Source organism: Homo sapiens, chromosome 3 (genome assembly GCF_000001405.40).
Source record: "Homo sapiens chromosome 3, GRCh38.p14 Primary Assembly".
Taxonomy (NCBI): domain Eukaryota; kingdom Metazoa; phylum Chordata; class Mammalia; order Primates; family Hominidae; genus Homo; species Homo sapiens.
Window position 1 is genome coordinate 128883950 of NC_000003.12, and position 12162 is coordinate 128896111.

At 44.4% G+C, this 12162-nt stretch overlaps 1 protein-coding gene across 5 annotated transcripts in view; it reads left to right on the forward strand.

Moving 5' to 3' along the window:
- Positions 1-12162, forward strand: part of ACAD9 (acyl-CoA dehydrogenase family member 9) — a 33495-nt gene that overhangs the window by 4330 nt on the left and 17003 nt on the right. For 4 of the 5 annotated variants that reach the window (NR_033426.2, XR_427367.4, NM_014049.5 and 1 more), the window contains exons 2-4: positions 704-797; positions 9606-9707; positions 11361-11467. Coding sequence is in view for 3 of the 5 variants with exons in the window: in NM_014049.5 (NP_054768.2) it covers positions 704-797; positions 9606-9707; positions 11361-11467 (303 nt within the window). In the remaining 2 variants the exon portion in view is untranslated. The remainder of the gene's footprint in view (positions 1-703; positions 798-9605; positions 9708-11360; positions 11468-12162) is intronic. The other variant, NM_001410805.1, reaches the window with a different exon arrangement.

The following is a 12162-nucleotide window of genomic DNA, read 5'->3' on the forward strand; positions in this document are numbered from 1 at the left end:
ACATCACTGCTCAACAGCCTGAAGCCCACATCCAAAGCTCATGTCATGCTGGCAATTGAAGGGGTAGCAGAGCCCAAAAGTCCAGAGGGGCTCAGCACAGGGAGCAGATGTCTGTGAGCAGGAGAGACAGCGGCTGTAGGGATCGATGAGACTTGGTAAGCATGATGTGCTCTTGTCAGCATAGCATCTTTGAGCTCACACAATAATTGATGTAGAATTGTCCATTTCAGTAAGGAGTTTCCACATCCACTATCTTCCACGATTCTCACAAGGGCCTTGAGTAAATATTACCTGCATGTTATGGGTGAGAAAGGGGTAGTTTAGAGAGCTGAAGGGATTTGGTGAAGGCCACATAATGAGTAAGCCTGAAATCAAGGACCAGACCCCCAGGCTTCTAAATGTTAGTCTTGGGCTCCTTGTTTCATGGGACTATTATCATCCCTTGTACTGAGAAGGAAAACTGATGAAAATCGGGAAGAACCTATTTGAACAGGGGAGGGAGATGGATGTGGGTGGTGGAGCCTGCACATAGTTTCTGTATCTCAGGAACCTTGTGAGGTTTGCTTTCCAGTTCCTTCAGTACGTCATGTCCCGCTGGCCAGGGTGGAGTGGAGCACATGTTTTTCCTTCCCTTTTAACTGATATTTCCGTGATGGGAGTGTGCTAAAAATTAAATTTTTTAGAAAATATTTACTATTTTTAGAAAGAAGTTTTCCCATTTCCAGAAGTTAGCCAAGATGAACTTAATGAAATCAATCAGTTCTTGGGACCCGTGGAAAAATTCTTCACTGAAGAGGGTATGTATGGTTTTCTTTACCATTGCCGATTTCCATTGTAAGGGCTATTTGGTTGATATTTATATTAGAAGTGACATACATAGGAGAAGTCTTCTTGAGGGAGAAATGGTTTCCACTCATAATATTTTGCTTTAGGTTTCATCCCTATTGCCATTTAATTAAAAAACATCCAGTTAAATGCTTCTCATTGTATTTGTGGTTCAGGAGCACTTTAAACATTTCCATACTGTTCCAGGTCAACACTTCCATAAAGCTATAATAAAAATGAATAACTAAAAAAATTAGATGGCAAAAAGCCAAGGCCACACACCATACAAGCCCATGGAGCATGTGTTGGTTGTTGTGGCAGTGTACAGTTGCTCTTAGTGTTTCTAAAGGTTGAGTTTCAATTTCTGTACTTTGGTAATTGTAAACAAAGAGTGATTTGTGGACCAGCCACAGTTTGGCACCTGCATGGTGAGGCAGCATTTGACCTCAGGTCCCTCTCTCAGAGCTGTTGGCCGGTCCTCCAGCCAGGGCCTTGGTGGAGAGTTCAGTGATGGTGGATGGACAGCAGGTCTTCCCTAATAGTAGGATCCTGGAGAGCTTTTGTTTATATGAATTTTATCTATCAATATTTGCCATCTTAGGGGTTATTTTATTTTTATTTTACTTTATTTTTTTGAGAAAGGGCCTAGCTCTGTTGCTCAGACTGGAGTGTGGTGGTACCATCTCATCTCACCACCACCTCCATCTTTCAGGCTCAAACAGTCCCCCAACTTCAGCCTCCTGAGTTGCTGGAACTACAGGTGCGCACCCCCATGCCCAGCTAATTTTTTTGTATTTTTCATAGAGACAGGTTCTCACTATATTGCCCAGGCTGGTCTCTACTCCTAGGCTCAAGTGATCCTCCCACCTTGGCCTCCCAAAGGGCTGGGATTACAGGTGTGAGCCACCATGCCTAGCCCCTCTTAGAAATTAAAACTGAGAAATTTAAAATATACTGTGGGGCTGGGTGCAGTGGCTCACGCCTGTAATCCCAGCACTTTGGGAGGCCAACGGGGACAGATCACCTGAGGTCTGGAGTTCAAGACCAGCGTAGCCAACATGGTGAAACCCTGTCTCTACTAAAAATACAAAAATTGGCCGGGCATGGTGGCGGGTGCCTGTAATCCCGGCTATTCAGGAGGCTGAAGCAGGCGAATTGCTTGAACCCAGGAGGCAGAGATTGTAGTGAGCCAACATTGCACCACTGCACTCCAGCCTGGGTGACAGAGTGTGACTTTGTCTAAAAAAAAAAAATAAAATATACTGTGTTCATTTGTTTAAAAATAATAAATCCATTACATGTTAACATAATATTTTTAATGAAAAATATTTTGTTTTTGTTTTTCCGAGACAGAGTCTCACTCTGTCACCCAGGCTGGAGTGCAGTGGTGCAATCTCGACTCACTGCAACCTCTACCTCCCAGGTTCAAGTGATTCTCCTGCCTCAGCCTCCCAAGTATCTGGGACTGCAGGCATGCACCACCACGCCCGGGTAATTTTTGTATTTTTAGTAGAGATGGGGTTTCACTATGTTGGCCAGGTTGGTCTTGAACTCCTGACCTCATGATCTGCCTTCCTCAGCCTCCCCAAGTGCTGGGATTACAGGCGTGAGCCACCGCGCCAGCTAATGAAAAATATTTTGAAAAATAATCAGGCCAGGCGCGGTGGCTCACACCTGTAATCCCAGCACTTACGGAGACTGAGGTGGGTGGATCACCTGAGGTCGGGAGTTCGATACCAGCCTGACCAACATGGAGAAACCTCATCTCTACTAAAAATACAAAATTAGCTGGGCGTGGTGGTACATGCCTGTAATCCCAGCTACTCAGGAGGCTGAGGCAGGAGAATCGCTGGAACCTGGGAGGCGGAGGTTGCGGTGAGCCGAGATCGCGCCACTGCACTCCAGCATGGGCAATAAGAGTGAAACTCTGTCTCAAAAAGAAAAAAAAAAGAAAAGTAAGTTAAAAAAAAAAAAAGAAAAAAATTGATGGAAAGAGTGACATTGGTTGAAAGTTATGCAAGTCCTTTTAATGTTTGGCTTATTAGAAGACAGCTGGATTCTCATACCTGTTTGTGCACGTAACCTCTGGAAAAGTCCACTGTGCAGTCTTTTTTTTTTTTTAACTGTCTTTTTTTATAATCTTCAGACATGCTTTTTGTTTGTTTGTTTCTGAGACAGTCTTGCTCTTGCTTTGTCACCCAGGCTGGAGTGCAGTGGTACGACCTCAGCTCACTGCAACCTCTGCAGTTGAAGTGATTCTCATGCCTCAGCTTCCTGAGTAGCTGGAATTATAGCACGCACCGCCACGCCTGGCTAATTTTTGTATTTTCAGTAGAGATGGGGTTTCACCATGTTGGCCAGGCTGGTCTTGAACTCCTGACCTCAAATGATCTGCCTGTAATCCAAAGTGCTGGGATTACAGGTGTCAGCCACCGCACCTGTCCTGACACGTGCATTTAAAGCAAGAAACACACACTTCCAGGACATAGGGCTCTGTCAGCAATAACTGTCATCTTTGTATTTGCAGAGATGTAAATATATAAGAAACCGGCTGGGCACGGTGGCTCACACTGGTAATCTTAGCACTGTGGAAGACTGAGGGGGGCAGATTGCTTGAGTCCCAGAGTTTGAGACCAGCCTAGGCAATGGAGCGAAACCCTGTCTCTACTAAAAATTTAAAATATTAGCCGGGCATGGTGGTGCGCGCCCATAGTCCCAGCTACTTGGGAGTCTGAGGTGGGAGAAGGTACCCAAGCCTGGGAAGTCAAGGCTGTAGTCAGCTGTGTTCATGCCATTGAGCTCCAGCCTGGGCGACAGGAGTGAGACCCTGTCTCAAAAAAAAATAAAAATAAAAATAAAAAAATAAATAAATATATATATATATATATATATATGCAAGAAACCACTGCAAACCAAACCCACTCCCTCTCACAGGAACAAAGGTCTCTTGGAATAAATAGCAAATGCTGGAATAAAAACTATGTTCATTCAGCTGCCATGATGTGAATTCAAAAAGGAAGTTAAATCCAAGGGCAAAGCAGAGAAAAGAACATACAAAAATACACCTATTTCATGTACATTCAAAGAGGAGGCTAATCACTGTGGACAAAGGGCCCTCTGGAATGACAGCTGTAGGCAGCCAGCAGTGCCACGGAAATAGAGGCACTGTCATCTGGAGACACAGAAAAATCACATCCTCCCACAACTGGCCTCTATGAAAACCAACCAGGACAGACAACCCTTCCCCAAAAGTAATGGCCAAGAATAAAAGCACAAATATTGCTGGAAATCCAAGTAGCCTGTTTTACTGCTTTGAGTGACTTATATGCAAACCTAAGACTTTTTTCTGAATCCTTGATCAAGATTTATTCATATAAAGGCCGTACATAAATTCTGGGAACATGGTACTTTGGACTATATATTGGACTCTGAGCCAAAACGTTAAATACACTACACTGCGCCCCACTGTACAGTCTTCAGAGAATTAGAATTTAAAAGCAAGTAACATCTTAAGTAGTTTTAGGCCAGGTATGGTGGCTCATGCCTGCAATCCCAGCGCTTTGGGAGGCCGACGTGGGTGGATCACTTGAGGTCAGGAGTTTGAGACCAGCCTGGCCAACATAGTGAAACCCTGTCTCTACTAAAAATATAAAAATTAACCAGGTGTGTTGGTGCCCACCTGTAATCCCAGCTACTGGGGAGGCCGAGGCAGGAGAATCACTGGAACCCGGGAGGTGGAGGTTGTATTGAGCTGGGATGGCGCCACTGCACTTCAGCCTGGGTGACAGAGTGAGACTCCATCTCAAAAAAAAATAAAAACTAGTTTTGATCCTGTGGGACCCCCTAGAAGCAGCTCAGGTCCCCCAGAACCTCTTTGAGAAGTGCCAAATTGTCAGCTGTCATTACATTGCTTGGTTTTTGTTTGTTTCTTATTTCACACCTGGTGATCACAAATTATATGTTGCTAGTTTTAAAAGTTGCTTATTTATATATAAACATAATTTATAATTTAGAAATACTTATTTCTGCTTTTTTTCCTAGTGTTTATCTTCCTATTTGTATCTTTTTTTAGCTCCCATAGTCTCTTGTTCTTTTATTTAAACTTTTCCTATGTGGTTTGTCAGGTTTTTTTTTTTTTCAGGTTTAATTAAGGAATAATTGATTTACAATAAATTGCACACACTGTCATGTGACACATAATGACATTCAAGTCAATGACAGACCATATATACAGTGGTGATCCCATAAGATCATCATACCATATTTCTACTGTATCTTTTCTATGTTTAGCTGTGTTCATATACACAAATACTTACCATTGTGTTACAGTTGCCTACAGTGTTCAGCACAGTAATATGCTGTACAGCTTTTTTGTTTTGTTTTGTTTTCCTTAAAAAAAAAAAAACAAAAAATATTTAACAGTGAGATGGGGTTTCACTGTGTTGCCCAGGCTGGTTTCCAACTCCTGGGCTCAAGTGATCCTCCCGCCTCAGCCTTCCAAAGTGCTGGGATTATAGGCATGAGACACCACGCCCGGCCTACTGTACAGGTTTGCAGCCTAGGAGCAATAAGCCATACCATATAGCCTAGGTGTGTAGTAGGCTCTGCCACCTAGGTTGTGTAAGTCCATTCTGATGTTCATACAGGGAGAGAATCACCTGACGCATGACTGTATTTAGAGAGTACCCCTCAGGAGCCATCAGTGCAACAGAGGAAGTGAACGTACTCATTACCCGTCAAAGTTTCCTTGTGCCTCTTTTATTTCCCCCCTGTTTCCAGGCAACTGCTGATCTGTTTTCTCTCACTATAGATTAGTTCGTATTTTTTGGAATTATATTATGTGTGATTTTGTCTGGCTTCTTTCTGCATAATTTTGAATTTCATCCATGGTGCATGTATTGGTAGTGGCTTCCTTTTTAATGCTGAGTCATATTTCTTTCTATGGATATACCAAGATTTGTTTATCCATTCAAGTATTCATCAACATAGGGTATGTATCCAGATTTTAGCTATCACCAAAAAAGTTGCCATAAACATTCCTTTTTTCCTCTTTTTCTTTTTTTAAGAGACAGGGTCTTTCTTTGTTGCCTGGGCTGGAGTGCAGTGGTGTGATCATAGCTCACTGCAACCCTTGAACTTCTGGGCTCAAGCCATCCTCTGCCTCAGCCTCCCGCATAGCTAAGACTACAGGCACACGCTACCATGCCCAGCTAATAATTCTTAAAGTTTTTTGTAGAAATGGGTTCTCACTATGTTATTCAGGCTGGTCTCAGACTCCTGGGCTCAGGTGATCTTCCTACCTCAGCCTCTTAAAGTGTTGGGATTACAGGTATGAACCACTGCGCCTGGCCTGTATTTCCTTTTTTTTTGAGATGCCATCTCGACTCACTGCAACCTCCATCTCCCAGGTTCAAGCGATTCTGCCTCAGCCTCCCGAGTAGCTGAGATTATAGGTGCGTGCCACCACATCTGGCTAATTTTTGGTATTTTGAGTAGAGAAGGGGCTTCACCATGTTGGCCAGGCCAATCTCGAACTCCTGACCTCAGGTGATCTGCCCGACTCGGCCTCCCATAGTGCTCGGATTACAGGTGAGAGCCACCTCGCCCAGCCTGGCCTGTATTTTATTTTAGAAACTTTATAGTTTTGGCTGGGCGCAGTGGCTCATGCCTGTAATCCCAGCACTTTGGGCGGCCGAGATGGGCGGATCATGAGGTCAGGAGATCGACACCATCCTGGCTAACATGGTGAAACCCCGTCTCTACTAAAAATACAAAAAATTAGCCGGGCGTGGTGGCAGGTGCCTGTAGTCCCAGCTACTCGGGAGGCTGAGGCAGGAGAATGGCGTGAACCCGGGAGGCGGAGCTTGCAGTGAGCCAAGATCGCACCACTGCACTCCAGCCTGGGCGACAGAACAAGACTCCATCTCAAAAGAAACTGTATAGTTTTAATTCAGGTTTAGAACTATGATTCATTACAAGTTAATTTGCATTTCTTTATCAATTTTACAATTTTCAATGTCTGCAAAAAGGCCTACAATTCTTAAATGGTTGGTTTATCTTTTAGAGCAATTTTTTTTTTTTTTTTGAGACGAAGTCTCACTGTGTCACCCAGGCTGAAGTGCAGTGGCGCTATCTTGGCCCACTACAACCTCTGCCTCCCAGGTTCAAGCGATTCTCCTGCCTCAGCCTCCTGAGTAGCTGGGACTATAGGTGCGCATCACTATGCCCGGCTAATTTTTATATTTTTTTAGTAGAGACAGGGTTTCACTATATTGGCCAGGCTGGTCTCGAACTCCTGACCTTGTGATCCACCCGCCTCGGCCTAAAGTGCTGGGATTATAGGCTTGAGCCACCGTGCCCGGCCAGCAATTTTTAAAATAGGAAAAAAGGATCTTGTAGTTACCCATGTAGTTACTGATTCCAGGGCTCTTCATTCTCTCATGTAGAGTCAGATTCCCTTTTGCTACCATTGCTCTTCTGTGGGAAGGACTTCCTTTCACTTTTCATGATGTGCAGCTCTGCAGGGGATGCATATTCTCACTTTTGTATGTCTAGAAAAGTTTCAGCCAGGCATGGTGGCTCATGCCCGTAATGCCAGCATTTAGGGAAGCCGAGGCTGTCAGATCACCTGAGGTCAGGAGTTCGAGACCAGTCTGGCCAACAGGGTGAAACCCCGTCTCTACCAAAAATACAAAAATTAGCCAGATATGGTGGTGTGCACCTGTAATCCCAGCTACTTGGGAGGCTGAGGCAGGAGAACCACTTGAACCCGGCAGGCAGAGGTTGCAGTGAGCTGAGATCACATCACTGTACTCCAGCTTGGGCGACAGAGCGAGACTCCATCTCGAAAAGAAAAAGAAAAAGAAAAGTCTGTTTCATCAGAACAGGTTTCTGTGTTGACAGGATTTACCTTTCAGGCCATTAATTGTGTTGCTCTGCTCTCTTCCTGACTTCATATTGCTTCAGAAGAGATGTCTGCTTCCATTCTTTGTTCCTTTGTACATAGTGTTTTTTTCATCTCTGGCTGCTTTTCAGTGGTTTTTAGGAAAATTGATTATCACATTTATTTATGTAGTTTTTTGCACATTTATTTTGCTTGGAGTTGTTTGAACTTCTTGGCTCTGTGTGTTTATACTGTTTATTGAATTTGGATAAACAGTTGTACACCCATACAGTGAATACTGAACAACAAAAAGTAATGAAGTATTTATACACGCAACAACACGGGTGAATCTGTAAATCATGACCTGAGTTAAAGAAGCCCGGGAAAATAGGTGCCATATGGATTCATTTATATAAAACTTGAAGATGCAAACTGATCTACAGACAAAGATTTGTGGTTGCCTGGGGATGGTGGACAGATGGATCGATCACAAAGGGGCATAGAGACTTTTGGTGAAAAAGGAAATGTTTTTATCTCGATTGTCATGTTTTCACTGACAAATATGTCAGAACTCAACAAATTATATATTATAAATATGTGCAGGTTATTCTTCGCCAATTATGTATGTCAATAAAGTTGTTAAAGGATAAAAAATGAAGGGTTTGGCCTGCACTTTTGGGAATCTGTAGTTCTCTTAGTGACCCATGTATACAAAAATTCTTAAGTGTAGGTTATGGTGTTTTTAACAATTTATAATACTGATGAAGTTTAATTAGCAATTCAGAAGTACACTTTAATTAATTTGATGCATACAAAAGTGTGCAATTATAGGTCTAATGCTATGCTATTGATTGTTCAGTTTTGCTGTAGTGAATGTGAATTTTTATTTTAGAGATGAGATCTCACTCTGTCGCTCAGGCTGGAGTGCAGTGGTGCCATCAGAGCTTACTCAACCTCCCAGGTCAAGTGATCCTTCCACCTGAGCCTCCCAAGTAGCTGAGACTACAGGCTGAATGTGAATGTTGAATGAATGAATGAATTGGTGTTAAACAGGCTAAACTGTCTCAGAACTTGTGGATTGTGCTGAAAGCAGTATGGCCTCTGGCAGTGAAGTAAACCTTGGCCCAGATACTGCCATGAGGTGGCTATCTAGCTGAACATTTTAGTACAATTCTGAGACTTGCATATTTATTCTCTCATTTCCTAGAAAATACCGGCCAAAAAAAGTATGAGGTCTATAAGGAGGAGGAAAAACATGAAGTTTAACATGCCTATAGAAAAATTTACATCCCATGAATGTATATAATTTGCTGCTGTTTTACACAGCAAAAGCACCCCTGTGACTAGCACCCAGATCAAGAAATAGAACACCACCTAGCTCTGGCAGCTTTTAACAATTTTATTCTGGCCGGGCGTGGTGGCTCACACCTATGATCCCAGTACTTTGCGAGGCTGTGGTGGGAAGATTGCTTGCGTTCAGGAGTTCAAGACCAGCCTGGGTAACATAGCAAGACCTCGTCTCTACTGAAAAAAAAAAAAAAAATTAGCTGGGTGTGGTGGTATATACCTGTAGTCCCAGCTTCTCATGAAGCTGAGGCAGGAGGCTCACTTGAGCCTGGGAGATTAAGGTTACGTGAGCTATGATTGTGCCACTGCACTCCAGCCTGGATATCAGAGTGAGACCTTGTCTCTAAATAAATATATAAAAATAAAATTTTTCCTGGGCTCATTACATAAAATTGAACACAGGCCAAATGACCATGACTACAGAATTTCTAGTTTTGAAAAAGTTTCTACTCTGGGATTATATATGATTAATATATAAACACTGTCCTGTTTACTTATATTTGTAGAAACATAGCTTATATTTGTTTAATCAAGATTTTCCTCTTGGCAGTGGACTCCCGAAAAATTGACCAGGAAGGGAAAATCCCAGATGAAACTTTGGAGAAATTGAAGAGCCTAGGGCTTTTTGGGCTGCAAGTCCCAGAAGAATATGGTAAGTCAAGCAAACAAGCACCCAGCCAGTTTAGCTCTTAAGAAAGCACTCTGTATTTGTCCATAACAGGTCTAGTTGCTGGAATAGATGACACCATCCGTGGTGGGCTACTTGGTAGGGGTGGACTGACTGAAGGACCTGTAGGGAGGAAGTGTTCTCGGGTCCTGTGCTTCTCATCCTAGCACAGAGGAATGAGGCATGTGGTCTGGCTGGCTGTAGAGTGCAAGGCACATCGAGGTGGGAGATTGGACCAGTGGGAACCTTTGAGCAGGGTCCTTTGTCCTATGGACTGTCCCTGTAATTCTTTGAGCATCCTAGTGATGTTTTTAGCCCCCAAGTGGCGGTTCTGCCTTATTAGAGTTGGCCAGTCACTACAACTTGCCTCCCTTACGCTTTTTCTCGAGTTGGTCACCTGAATTCTGCAGAGGTTAAAGGGACAGGCAAGCAGTGTGTAGAAGGCAAGGTAGACCTTCAAGGTTCAAAGGGATAGACCACACACATGTGTGCCATTTGTGTTTACCCTCAGGCCCTTTTGATATAAAATTATAAAGGCCAAGGATGCTGCTAAGCATCTGACAATCCACAGGACAGACCCCCAAAACAGAAAACAATCCATTCCAAAATGTTACAGTGCCACAGTGGAAAAGCTCTGTCCTGGAGTCCTCTGGATACTGGGCAGTGGGTCACACTATAGTTGTTGCATTTATAAAGACCTACAGCTGTGATGGAAGATTCTCACTACATGTTAATTGATTCGATGTGTGTGTAGATATCTTCATATTTAAAGTATATATCTACATATGCTTGTATGCCTAGAAAAAGTGTGGATGGAAGGATATACACAGAAATGCGCTTTCTGAGGCACAAGATTGCGAGCTTTTTTTTTTTTTTTTTTTGAGACAGGGTCTCACTCTGTCATCCAGGCTGGAGTGCAGTGGTGTGGTCATAGCTCACTGTAGCCCTGAATTCCTCGGGCTCAAACAATCCTCCCACCTAAGCCTTCCAAGTAGCTGGGACTACAGGCGTGCGCCGCCATGCCTGGTGAATTTTTTTTATTTTGTAGAGCTGGGGTCCTGCTATGTTGCCCAGGCTAGTCTTGAATTCTTGGAACCAAGCAATCCTCCCACCTCAGCCTCCCAAAGCGCCGGGATTACAGGCGTGAGCCACTGTGCCCAGCCCTCGATTTTTGTTTACTTTGTACCTTTCTGTATTGTGATTTTTTTTTTTTTTTTTTTTTTGAGACAGAGTCTCTCTCTGTTGCCCAAGCTAGAGTGCAGTGGTGCGATCTTGGCTCACTGCAATCCCTGCCTCCCAAGTTCAAGTGATTCTCATGCCTCAGCCTCCTGAGTAGCTGGGACCACAGGCACACACCACCACACCTGGCTAATTTTTGTATTTTTAGTAGAGACGGGGTTTTGCCATGTTGGCCAGGCTGGTCTCGAACTGTTGACCTCAGGTGATCTGCCTGCCTCAGCCTCCCAAAGTACTGGGATTACAGGTGTGAGCCACCATGCCCGGCCTGTATTGTGATTTTTTTTTTTAATATGGTGATCTGGCATTACTTTATAATCAGAAGAAAAAAAAAAGCCAATGAAGCCTTAATGGGAGGAATCTAGGGCTGGGCTGTGATTGACGCTGGTCCATCTCTCCTAGGTGGCCTGGGCTTCTCCAACACCATGTACTCAAGACTAGGGGAGATCATCAGCATGGATGGGTCCATCACTGTGACCCTGGCAGCGCACCAGGCTATTGGCCTCAAGGTCAGGTATCTGGGGATTCTGTGTGGTGCTCTCTGTAGGTCTTCTGGAGTCACATGGAGGCATAGAGGCCAGAGGCTTGCTCCCTCTGAATTGGGCCTGATATCTGACCTTCAGCCCTGCCCTTCAGTTCCCTCACTCTGGCCACACCTCATGGTGCTCAATCCTCACACACTGCCCACATGCGCAGTGGCCTTTGGGTCGCATGTCCCTTCCTTCTGAATCCACCTCCTGTCCCCATTGCCTCTGATCCACCCTTCAAGGCCCAGGTAGGGTGCCACTGCCTTCGCCTTGGGCTGGAAGTGGTCTCTCCTGAGCCTTCGTCCTTCAGCCTGAGCATGCCCCCACTCTTTATGCAAGCCACCTTCTCCCCACTGGGCTTGGAGCACCTTAGGGCAGGCCCAGGGTCAACCGCCCTTACTGGCAATCTCATTACTCAGATTATTTCTGCTTAATGTTGACATCAAAGAGAGCTGAATGCACACCATGCTCGGCTCCCCCACCCCAGAGAGCGCACACATTCATGCAGATGTTTAGTGAAGAGGGGGACTGTCTTTGTGGCACTGGGAGGGCAGCAGGTGGGACAGCCCTGACACTGAGCACCTTCTTTAGGATAGGCTTGGTTCCAGCACTCCTGTGTCTTCACATTGCATCATCCAGACCCTGTCAGTGGGTGGGAGTGGCCCAGTTTGTGGATG